The following is a 20,482-nucleotide window of genomic DNA, read 5'->3' as shown; positions in this document are numbered from 1 at the left end:
TTCTCTATGTGGATTTAATGTTGATATTTTTTGGCTTTGAAAGGAAAATACTTCTATGTCTAAATGAGAAAAATAGCACCTTAAATTCAAAATTCAGCATTGGTTCAAAATCATTTGTCATGAAAGCTTCTTTTCCAGTTATAATATTAGATACTCCCCTTTGTCCTGTTATATAACAGAGGGTACTCATGCATGCTAATTCATACTGGATCAGTGACAGAGAGGAGAAGAAATGTAATAAACAGGTGTCAGAGAAATCTGTGTAAATACAGTTGAAGGGGAAAGTAAATAGGGACAATAAATTATAGGAAATTAGGAGGCAATCAAAACCTGCGGGAAGAAAATGAGCTGGGTTATCTGCTTCCAGGTCAGATATCTATGTTACCCTCTCCTTTCTAATAAAATTTCAGCATAATACTGGAAATTTTATCTTAGAACTAAGTAATGCTTTATTTCCTCAAGGTGATTGGAAAACACAGTTCTACCAGACTAAAGGGAGATGTGTATTGTAACTCAACAGGAAGACATAGCTTTACTTGTTTTTCTTTTTTTGAAGCAGAATTCTAAGTATTTATTTTTAAATTCACCAATTTTTACATAATTAGAATCTTGAGGCTTCCCTACCTGTAGTAAATTAGATCCTGGATACCTATGTGAATGTTTTTCTTGTCTAGCTAAGAAAAGGCCTAAAAATGAATAAGAATCATTGTTGCATTCTCACCGTAATGATTAAGTAGGAGAATCTCCTATAATGCTTAGTAGATAGAGGCAAACAAGTCTAATAGAGTGCAAAAAATCTCCTTGTTTTCAGGGGCCTGTGGAGTTTTGTCATACCTCCAAGATGGAATGTTTAATGTTGCTAGACAGATGTCCACAAGTGTTTAGAAAGAGCTGCTATTCAGTGTTTGTCAGTATGTGATTTAGAGCTATAGATGATTTATTGAGAAGTCAGGATCCTGGGACATACTTTGATTATTTTAAGGATGGAGGTGGGAGTGTAATCTACATTTTGGAAAAAGTTTCCCAGGTGATTGTTATGCATCTGAAAGTTTGAAGCCATTGTCTAAAGGAATAGGGCTATGGTGGTGCTTAGATCCAACCACTTCGACATAGGGCAGATGATTTTCCCACTATTCTGTTGGAGATGTTGCTGTCAGGTTTATTGGTGTGCTGCCTTATAGCTGATTGTAGGAAAGGAGCAGTGTCTCTGATATGCCCTATGTGTGCAATTGGAAGAACTGGGATAGAGTTAGGAATGGATGAGGGCTTATCAAAGATGAAGTATGATTTAGACTCAGAATAGGCTTTTTTATGTGCAATTAGTCAGTCTTCAGTGATTTTCAAGAGACATAGCAATAGTTTTGATGTCTTGCATAAATGCTAGTATTGAGAAATCTCATTTATGAAGTAGTCTCAAAGAGACATTCAAAAGAATAGATGCTTGGGTGTGTACTCAGCAGTCGCAAATAAAAAGGAAGCTGTTTTCAGAATGAGTGGTATAACAAAAATCTGAATAGCAGTCTAAGAGAAAGGCAAGCAAGATCAGTAGAGCCTTGGGGCTAATGAATAGACATTCCAGTACAACAGGAATGCAGTATGGGCATTTGTAAGGAAAGGTTACAGTAACAAATTTATCACAGATTATCTCAGGGATGATTTTTATGACATACATAGAATTTATTATTTTAATTTAAAACATAAGAGGCTGTGCATGGTGGCTCACACCTCTAATCCTAGTGCTTTGTGAGGCCAAGGTGTGAGGATTGCTTCAGGCCAGGAATTCAAGACCAGTTTGGACAACATAGTGAGACCCTGTCTGTACAAATTATTATTATTTTTTAATTAGCTGGGTGTGGTGGCACACGCCTGTAGTCTTAGCTATTTGGGAGGCTGAGGCAGCCTCAACTGAGGCTGCAGTAAGCTATGATTGTGCCTCTGTACTCCAACCTGAGCAAGAGAGCAAGATCCTGTCTCGATAGATAGATAGATAGAGAGACAGACAGACAGGTAGAAAGAATTGGGCAAACCATTTAATCCCAAGTCTCAAAATGAGTAGATCTTATGTTATCTCTGACTCAAAATTTTTGCTATTCAAGTTCAATAAAAGTTGGAATCTGCAGCTTAAAATTGAGCTTGAAATCAAAAGAGTGGGTTGTTTTGCAGTATTCCAACCTATATTTTCTTTTTTTTTTTTTAAGTCCAATATTTATTTAAAAATCTAATCTGCCAGTTTAGCGTTTTCCACCAACTCGAGAACTGAAACTTTCACGGGCTTCACAATCATTTACTTAGGTGCTGCCTTTGTAGGTGCCTTAACAGCAGCCATTGCAGTGTTTTTAGATACTTTGCTTAGCCTTTTTTGCTTCCTTAGCAGCCCTGATACCTTGTTCTCGTTGAGCCTTTCTAACTTCAGGTTTCTGATTCCTCTTGGCCATTATATCAGCAGGAGAGGCACCTGTAATAGCCCCCTGCAATTTGACTGCTCGGCAAGTTCTTTTCTTTTGAATTTCTTCCAATTGTCCCTTTTTGTGCTTCTTTCTGTAGAGGACAGTCCAGCTTATCTGCCGAGGATTCCCCCTGGAAAAGTACGCCGATTCGCATTTTGCATTAAGAAACTGGAAAACTTTCCTGTCGGTCCTGGCGTAGCGCCTCCCGTGTCCGGGGTAGACCTTGTACCGGCTGAAACCGCATAGCTCGACCTTCATGGCGGCAGCTCCACGGGAGGAGAAAAGATGGCCCCAACCTGTATTTTCGAGTAATACCCTTTAGAATTCATAAAAGTCTAAGAACACTTTGTAAATGGAATGTTTCATAGTTCACACTAAAGTAAACATAAACTGTTAAGCAAAACTTTAGATCACTTCTTCTAACAAAGGAAATGTACCCGAGAACCCATGAGAAGTAGCTTCAGAGTATTTTTTTTTAACAGTGAATTCTCTGAGGTCTTGGACTTTTAAATTTTATTTAGTTTAATTGCCAAAAGCCAAGGTGGAGCTGTGTAGCATTCTGAGGAAATAAAACCACTTGAAGCAGAGGTATAGTAGAATAAAGCCATTCTGCCTCCAGTATTTGGGTGGATGTATTTGGTACTGTAATCATTTTACAGATTGCTAATTCATTGATGTAAAAGATACTCAATGGTAGGCATGTTGGACCCATTCAATATTGTTTTTTGTACCTTTCTGTTAACTTTTGTATTATTCATATATAATATAGATTTAACCAAATCTATTTTCTTAAAATTGCATATTATTGTTTTATGAAATGTTCTTTTAAATTTTGTTAAAATTTTGTCCGCTTTTTCTACAGAAGTAGGAATGAAATATTTAACATTTTCTGCCAGTTCTTACTTATCCACTGTGTTCCAGAGTCTTTAATTTAAATATTTTTGTTTGCCAGGCTTAGATTTTCATGTGTCTATTAAAAGAGTAGGAACATACTCCTCCATGCCAGACATCTGCTATGTATAAGCATTGATTATTTTCCCCCTTATGAATAAATGTATTTCTTTTGTTAAGTTTGTTGTAGGTTAAAAAAAAAGCATATTTATGTTTCTCCTAAAATTTGGGAAATCAATTTATATTACTCTATGGAGTATGTAACAAATGATGTATTCTTTAATTCTGAATCCTGTATACAGTAGTTACACCCTTATCTTTCATTAATTGCTGTCTGTTTGTAGGGTTTTGAACTATTCTGATTATTTTGCAAAGTTTTTTTTTTTAAATTACGAATGTAATGTATTGCAGTCAATTTTGAAAGAAGGAAAAAGATTTTTCTTTTTATACCAATAACACAAAACATCTATTTTTGTGTATTCCTTTTTAGATTTCAATATGAGCTTATTAAATGTGGTTGTAATCATATATAGTTTTCACTTAATTTTCAATATTTGTTGTTGCTATTGGTTTAAATTACAAAATATTTCATAAACTGCAGCAGTCCCCAAAGCCCCTTGTAAATATTCATGAACTCAACCATAACTTAATATACTTGAGAGAATTATCTTTCACTACCATCATATGACTGAATTTAAATTTATCTAATGTGTTTAACTTTTTACAGGTTAAAAAATTTACAGATAGTTTTTATAAGAATGGTTTGGTTTATATACTCTTTTCATTTCTAAGTTTTAATCAGTTATCTACTTTTTAGTTTACTGTTTCTCTTCTGTTCAATATTTTAAAACTTATTCAGGAATATGAAAAGATATGACAGTTTTATTTTGACTTCTGCATTTTGATTGGGTCCTTCAGTGAAAAATACAGTAGCAGAATTTCTAATGATAAATATTTAATGTAAATACTGCAAATAAAATATAATTTCTTGTAATTTTTTGAATGTATCTTTTAGTTGCACAGATTTTTAAATGCAAGAGATTAGAATATCATAAATAAGCCTGTGTATTATTTTAAGAGCACGTATAGAGGAAGGGGTTGTATGTTGGTAAAATACATTTACTGACCCATGTGTGAATTGGTGACCAGGATTGTTAAAGCATTGAGTTCTAAAAGTTTTTCTCTTATCTTTATGTTCAACAATAGAAAGTTTTACCGTATGGTCAAATAACATCTTCATCAGGTTCTCAACAGGATACCTTAGTTAATTTTCAGCTGAGTGCTTGACAGGATTTTCTCTTTGGCTAGCTGGTTGGATGAGAGTCTAGACACTGAGAGGCCAGGCTTTCGTGGGGCCTCACAATATCATTATTGTGCATGTTGAGTAGGAGCAGCTTCCTCTGATGTAGGGGCTCCATGCCCAAACAACGAAGACAAAGACAGAGCTTTTGTTCTCGAAGAGAAGAGCTAATCCGACTGCTGCACACTGTGAAAAACCTTTTATGAGAGAGGAAAAAAAACTTTCCTGGAAGGTGAAGGGTTAGCAGTTTAACCTCTGACCGTAAAATAAGCTGGTAAGGGGGAAAAAGTGTTGGGTAAGGTAGAAGAATAACAGGAGAAACATTCATCAAGGTTTGTATGCTGTGTTTATAAAAACAGGTTAAGCAAATAACTGTCAGGGGTGGATACTTGAGGTCTAATAATACATGCATATTTCTAATTTTTTTTTGTGCTTATTCTTAAACATAGGTGTTTAAACTTCATAATTTGAAGAGTGTATATTGCAGACCACACTATAAATGCAGGAAACAGTAGATGTCTAGTATTTACTCTTTTTCCTAAAAAGCTCCATTATAGACTTCTGTCAAGTTCTGAATATTTATTTTCTTGTTGTGTGAGTACAAAATCTTGATCCTTTTTCTTCATTGTTTTTTTCCCCAATTTCCTTGTTTAATATGATCATGTTTGTCTATAGAAATAAAGAAGTAGGACACTGCATATCTGCGGTACATAATTAAGACTCTTTCCAATTTGGTATTTGGCATTTTGATACCTATTCTGTTGATACATAGGTCTGGTGGGCAGTGTTATTATACAACTCCTTGGAGGAGATGGTTGCATCTTAGTGTACAAAGAATCCGGAGGCTCTGTCTGATCTTATATTGGCATTGTCAATACCAAGAATGTAGTTACAGTCCATTTAGAGGTGATGGAAGTTAAGTTGCTAGTAACTGTGTCATCTGTCTGCTTTTATTTACCAACCTGGACTAATTGCTTCTCCTCTTGTCAGTCACATATCAATCTTGAGCAATAATTAAGGTTTTATGCACTTGGGCTTCTTGCTTGGATGTATTAATGTATGTAACTTATTCCTGAGAATAACTATGCATATGGGGAAGCAGCAGCTTATATTGTATTATTTGAGTCATATTCTAAGGATCAGTCTGCCATGGTGTCTTTTAACTAACTTAATGTTTCTTCTATTATTCCGATTCCCTTTGGTAACAATACACATTTCTTCCTGTAGTTACCCAGTTTCACTTTTACCATGACAGAAAATGAGGAAAGGAGATAGAGAAGGTGACAGAGAGGAGAGATTGTGCTGGCCATTGAGTGATAATGAGGTAAGGGCAAAGAGATAAGTATAGAAAATAGAAGTTGAGAGTGAGTTGAAGGAAAGAAGAACACGTGAAACACATAGGTGGGCCAGTTAGGAATGGGTGGTGAGCTGTTGTGCAGCACTCTTAAGTTTTGAACTAATAATTAGTTGACCATAAATGTAAAAATTTCTTAAGGAATTACTCTTTTAAGACAGAAGTATAGAAGGATGGCATTACAAAACAAGTGACCAGACTTGGGAAGGTCCTGGGTGAGGGGAGGTAAATTTATATGAAGAGAAAGAAAGAGCCAGTAATAACCTACCATTTTGCTTAATGCATTACCTCTGTTCACTATGGTCAAATTTCTGCATCAGTATCTCAGCATTTTTTCCATCTCGCCTTACAATGATGAATAAAGTGATAGCGAATAGTGATAGTGAATGCATATAATGATATAGTGAATATATGTAATCTCCACTCATCCTATCAACATCTCTCAAGGTGGGTACTGCTATTATCACTACTTTACATTGGAGAAAAGTGAGGCACAGAGTGCTGTGTAGCTTGAGAAAGATCATGTATAGCAAGCTTGTCCAACCTATGGCCTGCAGGCTGCATGTGGCCAGGACAGCTTTGAATGTGGCCAAAAAATTCATAAACTTTCTTACAGCATTTTAAAAGTTTTTCCTTTTTTTTGCTCATCAGCTATTTTTAGTATATTTTATGTGGGGCCTGAGATGATTCTCCTTCTTCCACTGTGGCCCAGGGAAGCCAAAAGATTGGACGCCCCTGGTGTATAATGAGTGAATGACAATGCATGGCATGTCTATATGAAGTTTGACTTCAGTATCCAGCCACGTAACTACCATGCCGTGAATGCTTTAAGAATTCACTGAAGATATAATTATATACTACTGAAAGTTTTAGACTTCAAATGATAATCCCCCAACTCTTTTATTGTTTTACTTCCTTACTACTTTTTTTTAGGACAACCTAAATGGGAATTAATTGCTCACTTTCCTAGAGGATAGACTAGTATTAGAATATACAACAAATATAAGCATATTTTTGGTCTGAGGTCATGAATTTCAAATTTATTCTTTTTCTTTCAGTTTGTTTTCCTGCTATAGTTTCTCAGCCAATAATTATTTTTCTAAATGTGTGATTCTGTTTGTTGTTCCAAAGGACATAATTCTTCTCTTTATGAGTTCTTTGCTAATCTGTTTTAATCCTTTTGGATGTCTCATTTTCTCATTGTTTCTTACAAGTTGTGATGTAAATACTCTCAAGAAGTTACCAGAATAAAGTAGTGTCTGCTATTCCTCGAAACTTTCTAGTAGCCAGTATCCTCCCAGATTTCAGTTGTCCTTTATGTTGAATCATGAAGTTGTCATATGGTAATATCAACATTATGGGCTCTAGTAAGCTAATTTTTAAAGTGATCAACCCTATTCTGAGATTGTATTTTCTTTTGATAGTGTGCCTATAAAATTCAGACATCTCAAAAATGTCAAATAATATACATATATAATTTATATATGTACCAATTCTGATTAAACAACTTGTGTCTAACTTATTTTTTTAAAAGTTCTTAAGGTCAAGGAAACAGGTTTAATAATGTCCATGTTCATTTTCTTTTAAAATGTTAACCTTAGAATCTGCAAAATTAGGATTAATTTTCCTGCATTTAGTGTGGCACATTTGAAAAAAATTAGATAAAAACTATTTTCAGTCTAAAAGCCACCGTAACAGATTAAAAAATTCAAGTAGCCCTTTACTTTAAACATGTGATTAACCGTAAAGAATTTTTTCTTTTCCAATTTAAGTTCCCATGTCATAATACAGAGATAAAAAATAATGGCCCCCTGACACACCTTATTTGGCTCACATGGTATTCATGAAATGTTTAATTATTTTTCCCAACTTAAAAATTAGGTGATTTTGTTTTCATAAATATTCTGGATTTTCTTGAAAAATCAAAAGTATCTGTCAACACTGGGCCCACATTCCACATGGATGGAGCTGAATAATGGTTGCTTTTTTGGGAAGGGGAATGGGATCTATTTTTTACTACATGTCCTTTTATAGTCTGTCTTTTGTAGGCTCACTCTACTCATTTTTATTACCTATATATCCTAAAGGCATTTAACCTTGAAATCTCCCCTTTGTCTTTTCTACCTGTAAAAAGGGACTATATTTGTGTAATATATAAGGTATAAATAATTATACCTTGACTTTTTCTCAGGTTTTAAAGAAAATCTTAATTAGAAAACAAGTTTTATACCATACATAAAAACATTATTTTAATCTGTTTTTAAAATTCTTTGTGATATACCTCTGGCTCTCAAAGTGTAGTCTAGGGGTCTGTGGCGGTTCCCTGGAGTACTTCAGGAGTTCTGTGAGGTCAGAACTTTTTTCGTAGTAGTGAGGCATTATTAGCCTTTTTCGTTCCCATTTCTCACAAGTATATGGTAGATTTTTGCATAGGCTTCAGGACATGATGAAGTTATAACTCTGATGACTAATGAAGTGTGTACTTGAAGATTTTTGTGCTTTACTAATTTTTAAGTTTTGATTTTTAATACATAAATGTCATTTACTATAACTCACCTAAACAAAAGTTCTTTGACGACCTCAGTGATATTTGAGAGAATAAATCAGTCCTGAGACCAAAAAGCTTGAGAGGTACTGTGCTGTACATTATGGGGGCTAACTAAAAACACGTCAGTGGCAAATGCCCAAGGATAATTTGTATAATTACTATTTATTCTACATGATTACTATTTAATTGCCTATTTCTTTCTTGAAGTATGGGGCTTTCTTAATTAGTAATAGCTTTACTCTGCTCATTTGCTTGTTATCTTTAGTGAAAATATGTAGTGAAAATAAGGGCAGATCACTTCCCTCTCTTTGGTGTTAAGGATTACTTGATTTATTATATTACCTTTAAATCAGAATTGATCAGGTTTATGTTAGGGTAAGCCAGCTACTTGTTAAAATAAGCACATTAAAATAAGCAAATAAAGTTTATGACATTTACTGTGAAAAATTGATATGATAGGGAATAATTTTATTTGCATTATATATATCCATTGAATGGAAAGAATGGAAAATATACTCAATAAAAAACTGAAAAAGCTGCCTTTATGAAGTGTACATTAAAATTTGAAACATGATTCTGGCTTTTAGGAGCTTTGTTTAAATGAGGAGACACAAATAAGATGGTTTGGTAGCGATGGTTATTGTCTGGAAGTGGGATAGTCTGTGTGGTTGTAGTATTTTGGGAAGGTCTCATAGCATAGATCAGGAATAATGTATTGATTTTAGAGAGACAGAGAAAAGTGAACATAGGATTTCAGAAGGGGGTGCAGCATGTGTTGGAGTATAAGTAAATCCTTGAAATTGGGAATAAATTTTATTTATGTGAAAAGACACTGGGATTGAGTAGAAAATTTGCATTGGAGTTGGTGGGAAATACATTTAGATAGGTAGGATGGAATTGGGTAGGAAGTGCAGAATTTTGCAACACTGGTTTTAGTATATGGAGTTATGTTAAAATTTTAAAGTTCTATATGAGGCATTAAATATTAACACAGTTTGATGAGTTGGGTTTTGTTAAGCAGTAGTGAGCCACTGAATATTGTTCTGTGAAGGGAGGAATAATAAGAACTCTTAAGATTAATTTAGTGGCAGTGAGTTGAGAAGAGCTGAGTGGCAAGAAGACTAATTAGGCAATAAGAATTTAGAGTAAGATGAATATGGAAGAGGAGGAATGGATGACAACTGCATTTCGAAGAAATAACTAACATGGTTAGGCAGCTGATTAGACGTAGAGGATGAAGGCGTGTGAAGGCTGATTCTGAAACTTTTAGCATTGGTGTCTGGGTTCCATAGGTAGAGTGAGAGGGATATGATTCAGTGTTGGACACTAGTCAAGGGGATGTTGTAATCAAGTCATTGGGAAAATTGAATTTGAGATATAGAATTTTTGCTTCATTTATGCTTATGAATATCTACAAAAACACTTAGTTTTAGATATCACATTATATATTATGTTCTTGTTTTTAGTCCAGTTTAAAACAATATTTGAAACTTGAAAAATGGCAGAAGGTTTTTAAAAGGCTTGAGAAAAATTTCTTTACAGAAAGATTTGTGGCAGTAGTTTTCAACCAGAACAGCACATAAGAATCACCTGGGGAGTTTTTAAACAATTGTAGATGTGTCTAGAATGGTATTGGGTGGGGTGAAGGGTCACTTTTTAAAAATTTAAATGATCTTCCTTAGATAATCTAATGAACAGAAAGGGTTGAGAACTGCTATGTAGATATATAGGAAATAATTTGTGAACAATGGGAAATAGAATTTCAGTAAAAGTTTTTGAATTTGTTTTAAATTATATGTAGGGGCGATCCATTTTTTTTTTTCACAGCTCTTCAACAAGAGAGAAAAGAGTTAAATTATCTTCTGAGATATTTAGTTGGACATTGGGAAGAACTTTCAACTATTAGTTTACACTTTAGGAGGGAAGCTGGGAGATTTGGAGCAGTCCCTGTATATGTGTAGAATATAAAAGGATGTGTCTTTTTTTAGTGGAACATAAAGGAGCCTGCCATGTAGGGAGAGGAAACAAGGTCTCTTGTGATCCTTCTTACCGCTGATCTAAGATATATGGCAATTTTGTGTAATGTCACATGACAAATTATCTTTGTGAACTTGTGTTTGCTCTTGAATTCTGCTTAGTAGAATCCAGTCCAATTGGCCTCAAAATCAGATCACTGTTTTCTATTAGAAATACATAGCATTTTTAATATAATTCCCAGTAACTTGATAATTATATGTTTTCTTTTTCTTTTTCTTTTTTTTTTTTTGAGAAGGAGTCTCACTCTGTCTCCCAGGCTGGAGTGCAGTGGCGCGATCTTGGCTCACTGCAAGCTCCGCCTCCCGGGTTCACGCCATTTTCCTGCCTCAGCCTCCCAAGTAGCTGGGACTACAGGTGCCTGCCACCACGCCTGGCTCATTGTTTGTATTTTTAGTAGAGATGGGGTTTCACTGTGTTAGCCAGGATGGTCTCAATCTCCTGACCTCATGGTCCACCTTCCTTGCCCTCCCAAAGTGCTGGGATTACAGGTGTGAGCCACTGCGCCCGGCGCTAATTATGTTTTAAGAAAAATGGGTGAAAATTACTGTAGGACTTAATTATTAGTAAGCATGTTCAGACTAATAGTTTTCTGCCCCTTCAAGGAAATGATTCTTTTTGCCAGTATCACAGTGTTGTATTTACCAGTCATAATCTTGACCTCAAAGGTTAATGATATTTATCCATTATTAGTTTAAGGAAATTCTGGATATGATCAGGGAAGATTTTAGCAATAAAACAACATATTTAATTAGAAACAGAATAAAATATTCACATCTCTACTTTCATTTGCTTTTCATTCTACATCAACAGAGACCTGTGAACTGAAATGTAATAGCTATGTTGTGTTCATTTTATTATTATAGTTTTATGTTAACAAGTTTCTTAGTTTTTACTATGAACATTTGAAAGGTGTTCCCCACAAGTCCTTAGATTTCTCTAACATGAAGGTATAGATGACATCACATCACATTGATATTTAGAATCAGTTTTTTTCCAGCTTGATAACCTCTTGAGTACCTTCTGGGTCTCGATCCCATTTTGAGGTATTCATTCTCTTTTAGTATTTCTGTGGCCCTCCAGGGGTATCTCATAAGTACTGAGGAATTGCTTGTCTACCTCAACTACTATGCTTCATGCCTTTGCTCTTAATGTCTCACTGCGATTATTTCCATATCACTGATGCAATCATTTGTCTAGACCTTGTTTTAGTGCTTCACCTAGGATTATGCTTCTGACTTTGGTGGGTGCTGACAGTGATATTCACCCTCATCTTAGCCCATTGTTTGAAGTATATCCTATTTCATTATTGCTGCACTTGGCTCCTGGACTGCCATTCATAATGATGTTGCTAGTCACAGGTCTTTGCAGTTTTAATGTCATGTGATCCTTCACAGCCTGGGTTGCGGTTCTGCAAAGTGAGTAGGGAGGGCTTCTCATCATCTATGTTGAAGTTCTGCAGATCTAGAACTCATTTAGTTGTATAAAACACGATTCTTTTCTTTCCAGAGTATTTACATGCCAGCAAGATCACTGGGTCCACGTCAGGTTCATAAAACACCCACTATAATCTACTGGGAGAGTTTCCATTGGACTCTTGGACCCTTATTGCCCTTGCCATGAATTCTGTCTCAAGAGGGTAGATCATCTTGTAAATTTTATGTTATCTGCTTCCTTCCCTGATATTTTACCACAAATTGTCTATATATATGTGTATGTGTGTGTATATCCATATGTGTGTATATATATGTGTGTGTGTGTGTATATGTATATATATATATCTGAGTCATTCATATATATATGAATGATGTAAGTTCTTTTCCTAAGAGGTTCATTTTAAATATTATCTGTAGCATCATAACTGGGTTCATTATTTTATTACCTTTCAGTTTATACTCAACACAGAAGCCAGGGTGATCCTGTTAAAATATGTCAGAGCATGTCTCCTCTCTATTCAAATGCTGCTGTGGCTCCCTTTCCCAGAGTGTAAGCAGGTTCCTTTTTATCACTCTCAAGGCCCTTTATGTTCTGCTTGTTCCCCCTTAACTCTCTGACCTCACCTTGTCTCATTATTTTCATTTATCACTCTTTTAGATTTTTTTTCATATGAACAAATATAACTTTTTTTTTCAAGGCTATAGTCTTTTTCAGAGTTGTATAGTGTTTCATAGAATAATAATGGTATAATCATTTTCATATTGATGGGCATATAGGTTATCTTGCAAAACTTTGCTAATTGTAAACAGTGCTTCAGTAAACATTGTTTTATATATATGTTTGCATATAAGAAATATATAATTTCTTGCATTTTATAAAAAAGAATTTTTCTGTTACAATTTCTTTAGCTGCTCCTTTAGAAAGGGTCTATTCTTGGTAAATCTTTCAGTTTTGTCTTTCTGAAAATGTATTTATTTTCCCTACATTCCTGTTTGCACAGTTCTTAAGTTGTAGAGTATATTATTCCACTGTCTTCTGGCTTCCATTGCTGCTATTGAGAAGTCTGCTGTCGATGTAATAATGTATGTAGTTTTCTACTTACCTCTTTTCTCTCTAGGATGCTTTGAAAGGTATCCATATCTTTTTATACTTTGCAATTTCATTGTGATGTGTCTAGTCATGTCTGTCTTGAGATCTTGCTTAGGTTTGTTGTCATTTCCAAATCTAAAGATGTGTCTTTTATCAGTTTTGGAAAATCAGCCTTTATTTCTTCTAATATTATTTTCTTCCCTCTTCCATTATACACAGTCTGGTATCTTTGGTCTGATCTTTTAGAAATTTAAATAGATTTATTTTATTCTGGTCTCCATTTTTCTTAACCTCTTTTCTCATTTATTTTGCCTCTTTATGGCTCAATCTGTTTTAATATCATTTGTGTCTGACTTAGTTCACTATTTCTGTCTTCAGTTTTATAAGATATGCTGTTCTATTCATTGAGCTTTTAATTTCATAGATTATATTTTTATATTTTTAAAAGTTCTAGTTTTCAAAATTTGCTAGTTCATGTTTTGAGTTATGTTATTGTATAACATTTTAAATATCCTTACAATATATGCTGTTTCAGGTAATTTTAATATCTGAAGCCTGTGTGGGAGGAACAAAAAAAATTAGTATCTTAATTCCATTCTTTGTGTCTGATGGTTATAATCACAGGTGTTTAGATTTTCTGTAGTAATTTTGAATTACCCATTTATGTTAGGCAAGACCTGAGTTGATCAAGTGTTTCTTCTTCAAGAGGGCATTTGTACTTTCCTTTTGTCATGTGCCTGAGGTGCCATCTCTTTAGGGTGACAGGATCCATTCCTAGGCTTTGTAGATACAAAGATAAATAAGAGTTATTGCATTTACAGTAAGTTTCTTAGTGACTTTATTATATTCATTAGAATCTTAAATTTATTCTACATTTACTTTTATTGTAACTTGAAAATATCCTGAAAGAAAGGTCATGCATGGTTTAATTTGGTTCTTTGATGTTTTGTTTTAATGTATTTTTCATTTTAAAATTAATTTTAAAATATTTTTAGCAGTTATTCTTAATGTAGCTTACACATGTTTTTATGTTAGTGAACTTTAAGTCATTTTTGTAGTTAGTATGATTCTATTCATGAATTTTAGCTTATTCTCAAGTCATTGGAACTGTGTCTGTTATATCCAGGAGTATTAGAAGTTTACTGTACTTCAGACCATCTTTATATCAAGCAAGAAAGCTTTGAAGCATTTGCACATCTACCCAAAATTACTTTTTGGTGTAATATGAACATGATTTTAAATGCCATGAATAAAATGAAGCTGTTTTATGAGCAGTTCAGTTAATTTTACATTCTGAAGTTTCACATTAAGACTGTTTCTTGACAATATTTTACTTCAAAGAGTTAAGTATAATGAGTGTTGTGAATAAAAATATATGTCTTCTTTTATTTAACCATATACTTGCTTTTTTATAATTCTTATAATTATAAAAATTATAAAGAATTATAACAAACAACAGTCTCATGCTAACTTAAAGCATGGCCTCTTACCTTCTTTCCTCCTTAAAGGAATCATAATAAAAGCTATTGCTTTAGGATATGATCTTAAAGCAACTTTAAGATCTTAGCTGACTCAAAGGTATATTAGGTTCTGTATGACAGATCATCTTTCTACAAGCAACCTATTAACTTTTTTTCCCTGTGTTCTTATAAAAACGTTTGTGTTGGCTTTTAATGATTAGTATCTGAAAAATGTCAAAACATTTGATTCTCAGTTGTAAGTTCCTTGCGATAGATTAATCAAGATTGAACATCTGTGGTACAGCATTTCTTTCCCTTCTTTATTGTTGATGTTTTTTTTAAAACTCTCATGAAGGGCCCTTGGGACAGATGGCCCCTCACTGTTGATGGTTCGATTACCATGATCACCCACAGCTTCAGAGGAGTGCGAAGAAAAGAAATTGCTTTCTTTGTCAAGGTGTTTTCAATTCAATTCTCACCCATTAGCCCTGTTTGGTTAAGTTTGGAATTACTCTATCAGGAGATTGATGAGGGTTTTCATTTTATTATAATAGGTCTTGTTTAAAAGGAATGGATGTAGCAAAATGTTATATCTAACATGCTATGAGTTATATTTTCTTAAGGTTCTTTGAAGTTCCATTTTCATTACCTTAGTTAGAATTTGCTAATATTTGCTCAAAAGAGAGCTTCCTTGTTTTAAGTTGTGATGCTGATTTTACATCTTTCTAGAAATATTTAGAAAGGTTAGAATTATCCATTATCCAAATTGTTTTTTTAAGGTTTGAGTTTCAAAAACACCAAAATTATTTTAAAGTGCTAGTTTGATTTTCCAGGATGGCTTATTCGAATGAAGATAATCACAGTGGATCATTACATTAAATTTTATTTCCACCATTGCTTATGTGCATTTTTAGAATGGTGAACAAATGGACATATTTTCAAAATTGCTTAGTTTTAATTTTAAATGTATGCATTATGTAAAATAACAAATAGAAGTGTGATCTCTATTTTTGCAAGTGATTATAAAGTAAAAGATCTTGAAATAATGTTTTCATTTCTGTGAGGTCTTTGTGTGAATCAAACTTACATGATTAAATGAAGAATTATTTTAATTTCAGATTGAGAAGGTATTGATTTGAGTATTATTAGTAATTAATCTCCTTGTCTAGGTTTCTTCACATACAAATTTCCAAGTATTGTTCAAAGGAAGTCTGTAAGATTTAGGCCATTGTTTTACAAAATACAAATATTTGGCTTGGTGAGAATGTCTTCCTATAGATAACTAAGAAACTTTTAGACTTGTGGATGTTCTTTAAATTACTGTCTAATGAATGCACAGTAAAATCAAAGATCAACCAAGTATAGCAAATTGCAGCAGCATATTTTAGAAAGGATGTTATATAAGAAGCAAGGATACCTGAATCCTAGTCTTGGCTTCAATAGTTACTAGCTCCAGACACAGGATACAGTGTAACTTTGGGTGATTAAAAAAAAAGAATATTTAATGTCCTTTCTCATTCAGAAAATACAAAGTTTCTATCCATATATAATGAACCTTTTCTTGAAATACCAAATAAGTAAATAAAAGAGGCCTTATTATTATTATTACTATATTTTGCATTCACAGATAGTCTTTCTGTTGTCCATATTGGAACTAATTGCTTAAATTCATGAAAGAAAGCATTGTAAGACATTACAGCAAGAAAAATTTTCTCACATGTCTGAGTTGGAAAAGTACAAAAGGACATCTATCTTGTTTAGATATGGACTACCAATATGTATGTATACAGCATACAGCATATAAAGTTAGAGGGAATAATAGGCAGTATATCTTGTGTACACATAACTATAGTCCTCCATAATTGTTCCTTAAATCATGTGGTTCCAGTGTCACAAAACATTCAATTTTGAAATAAAATTCTTTCATTGGGATATGGAACTAGAATTATAGTATCAGTAGTATTTGGGTTTTAAAAACATTTTGGTGGTATTTTTCTTGCTAAAATTATTTTCTGCTGTAAGTGGTATAGTTGATGTTTGTTTCTAGCCCTATGAAGATATATTTGTTGTCATATCAAGTCTATATGTAATAAAGGAAAATATAAATTATTTATTGTCATATTTTAAAGAATATTTATATTTTTTATAAATATATAAAAATGTCATGCATACTGGTTCTTCACTCTAGAATGTTCTCCCCTGCCCACTTTATGGCCCAGATTATCCTTTGCTTGTCTTACTTGTGTAATTTATGTCCTTTCCTTTTGAAGGAAATATTAAATTTCTTAACATGTGACGCATAATGCTAATCATTGTGAGAGATACATAGTCCATGCTGTTAGTTCTCAAAGTGTGGTCCTGAGACCAGTAGCATCAGTATCACCTGAGAGCTTTTTAGAAATGCAGTTTCTCGGCCAGGCACGGTGGCTCAAGCCTGTAATCCCAGCACTTTGGGAGGCCGAGGCAGGCGGATCACGAGGTCAGGAGATCGAGACCATTTGGGCTAACATGGTGAAACCTGTCTCTACTAAAAATAAAAAAAAATTAGCTGGGTGTGGTGGTGGGTGCCTGTAGTCCCAGCTACTCAGGAGACTGAGGCAGGAGAATGGCATGAACCCGGGAGGTGGGGCTTGCAGTGAGCAGAGATTGTGCCACTGCACTCCAGCCTGGGCAACGGAGTGAGACTCCGTCTCAAAAAAAAAAAAAAAAAAAAAATGCCGTTTCTCAGGCCCACCTCAGAAGTTTTGTGTGTGGGACCCAGCAGTCTGTTTGTGTAGATATTTTTGTTGAAGTTTGAGAACTACTGAATTAGACCTTTAAGAAGATGATAAAATTAAATATTGTCATCTATAGGTTAACTTCAAAATAATTTGTACAAACATCTGCTTATATATGTTTTATCAAGATTAGATGTAGTCTGAATTTAAGACTTTCCAGCAATGAATTTGTTTTTATTTTCACTGTTGCTTATAGTCTTAAGGTTTATAGTACAGTCTATCATACTATTCTTTTTTGAGTGGATCAGTGAAGCTTTTTATTACTACTTTGTCAAAATGAGTGATATCTTTCTATCATGCAGTAAATCTGTGTTTTGCCGGAGTCTGTGCCAAGGAAAAATGGCAAAAGTGTCGATCTTCTGAATCTCTGGCTTCACCAAAGTCATTTGTGGCCCTAAATGATTGAGTGAATTGTTTCCTTAAACCGTTTTTTTTAATCAGGCTGAATATAAAATTATGGTAAGTCTGAGTATGTTGGCTCGCACCTGTAATCCTAGCACTTTGGGAGGCGGAGGCAGTACGATCACCTGAGCCCACGAGTTCAAGACCAGCCTGGGTAACATAGCGAGACCTCATCTTTACAAAAAAGAAAAAAAAAATTAGTTGGGCATGGTGGTGCATGCCTATAGTCCCAGCTACTTGGGAGACTGAGATGGAAGGGATTGCTTGAGGCTGGGAGAGTGAGGCTGCAGTGAGCCATGCTCATGCCACTGTACTCTACCCTGGGTGACAGAGTGAGACCCTGTCTCAAAAAAAATTACAATAATTAATGAGTTTGAAAATTATTTTGGAAGATGTAATAAAATATCATTTTAACCATAATTATTAAATTACATGCTTATCAAACTTTTTCAAAAATAGCACACGTCAAAAAAGGTATTTATATAGTACACTTGGATAAATAGATGAGACTCTTTTAAGAACAACCTAGAGAGTCTGAGGGAGAAAGAGACAAGGAAATTGATTTGCTATTTTTCAAAACCTACTTCTGATCATACACAGAAAGCATTGTGTTATTCATAAGTAGAAGACCCAGACTTCAGCTATGTGATTTCATAATTCTACTTCCATTTATTTATGTCATCTTATTTCTGAATCCTACAGTCTTCAGTTATATGTTGTAGACCTTTAACTGAAACTATGCTGTTTTAAAATACATTTGTATCATTTGGTATAATATATAATATTAATGGACTTTTCAGAAAATATGACTTCCTTTTTATTAGCTTTAGATACGTAATTCAGATCTGCAGCCACTCTTTTAGATTATCTTCCCATCCACCTGACTAACAGAAACCTCACCCCGACAGAATCCACCAATTGAGAGAAATGCCACTTTGCTGCCATTAAATGCCATGTTGGATATCTACCTATATTGAGAACTCTGCCTGAAATGGTTATTTCATACCTCCTCCTTAAAGCTCCAACAGCTTTTTTGTGTGTTTTAGCAGAAAGCTTTGCTTTAGAGAACTACCTACTACATAGAAAAATATTAGCAGTTTTTTTTCACAAAACTCATATTTTTGCACTACAGATTTACTTGGCTTTATGTCTTTCCTCTTCTCTTTTTCCTATAACAATGGAAAACGTACTTCAGCTTCTGTCTTAGGCTCCTCTCACTGTCTTGATCTGAATTCCAACCTTCCTGTCTTCTCAGGGATCTTGTATTCCTTCTTTGCTGGCTCTCTGCTAGCTCATGAATTCCCATAGCCTTTTAAACATGTTCAAGTCTGTACCAGTCAAAAGAAAAAAACAAATATCTCTAGCTTAAGCTTTCTGTCTACCTTTACTTTCCTCTACTTTGTGTATCCTTTCTTAAGTAAATTGCCTCTGTACATACTGCCTCTCTTTCATCATACTCACTCATTCCATAATCTTAAATCGGCCACCTCCTTCCTACCCTTCCACTGAGGCTCATCTTACTGTGGTGTTATGTCTTTTAATATAGTTGCCATTCTTCAGTCATCATCTCTCAATGTGTTGCAGCATTTGTTTGAGGATTTCTTTTAGATACACCCTCTTCTCTTGACTTTCATAATAACACACACTCTAGCTGCATTCTCCCTTTCTGGTTGTTCTTTCTAACTTGATTTATACTACTGTCTGCTTCAGTGGCTTCCCTTGCCAATCCAGCTTTATCTCTAGACATTGTCTCCCTCTTAGTCTACATTCAGATATGTTAGATGATTTTTCAGTTTCTAAAAGGTATTCTGCTTTCTTTTAACCTTCAAGATGTCATGCATATTGGTTCTTCACTCTAGAATGTTCTCCCCTGCCCACTTTATGGCCCAGATTATTCTTTGCTTGTCTAACTTGTGTCAGTTTATGTCCTTTCCTTTTGAAGTCCTTTAGTGACTCTCTAAATTATATTTCCTTATTATGTGCTCCTGCAGTACCCCTTCTTCTAGTATCATAAAAATGCATTAAGTTTTATTACATTATATATATAGATGCTCCTCTTCTCTGTAAGTGGTAGACCCTGTTTTGTTTAGTTCACCATTATGTGTCCACAGGTGAAAGAATAAAAATCATACATTACCAAAAAATTACACATTTTCTTTAATGATTTTTGCTCATTTCATTGCTTCATTAGGAACTTTTTTTTTTTTTTTACATTTTTAAGCCAGTGAATTTTCAAGTTGAGTTCAAATGTTCCTACAGGATACCTCACTTAAAAGAATATTTTGTACAAAAACGAAATTGCCCTTTGACGTTTCTCTCTGTGAATGTTGTAGGGCATTGTAACGCAGGGACTTTTCCTCTTTCTTTAGCACTGCATAGATTTTTGAATGAAATAAATTGAACTTAAGTTAAATGGGCCACAAAAATTTGTGAATTATTGGAAATTATTTAAAACATATGCTCCTCACATCTCAATAAAGAAAGCTGTAACCTCAGACATTACCTAGCTACGTGAGTAAATCACACTTCTCATTGTTTTGACCTCAATTTCTTCATACATATTCTTCTACAGTGTGGGTATATTAGGCACTGAAACCCGTAATCAAGAAAAATACTAATATTGTATATTATACTTTTCCAAAAGTATGTAGTCTCTGAACTGAGATTTTACAAATGCATAAATTTGAAGATACTGTACATTTAATCATCTTTGAATTCCACAGAATTAAGTAAATATTATCCT

The 20,482-nt window shown here is 34.1% G+C and overlaps 1 protein-coding gene and 1 pseudogene across 17 annotated transcripts in view; one reads left to right on the top strand and one right to left on the bottom strand.

The window, feature by feature from the left end:
• Positions 1–20,482, top strand: part of DENND1B (DENN domain containing 1B) — a 277,403-nt gene that overhangs the window by 43,810 nt on the left and 213,111 nt on the right. For 2 of the 17 annotated variants that reach the window (XM_011509249.3, NM_001300858.2), the window contains exon 3: positions 2,545–2,755. The exons of 13 other annotated variants lie outside the window; for them this stretch is intronic. In XM_011509249.3, coding sequence (XP_011507551.1) covers positions 2,704–2,755 — 52 coding nt within the window. In that variant the 5' untranslated portion in view covers positions 2,545–2,703. Of the gene's footprint in view, positions 1–2,544; positions 4,333–20,482 lie in introns of those variants that run through there. 2 more of the 17 variants (NM_001195216.2, XM_047447700.1) reach the window with 2 other exon arrangements.
• On the bottom strand, positions 2,192–2,737 carry RPL24P5 (RPL24 pseudogene 5; annotated as a pseudogene).

Source organism: Homo sapiens, chromosome 1 (assembly GCF_000001405.40).
Source record: "Homo sapiens chromosome 1, GRCh38.p14 Primary Assembly".
Lineage (NCBI taxonomy): Eukaryota > Metazoa > Chordata > Mammalia > Primates > Hominidae > Homo > Homo sapiens.
Note: the sequence above shows the minus strand (reverse complement) of the source record. Positions and strands in the feature narration are given on the sequence as shown.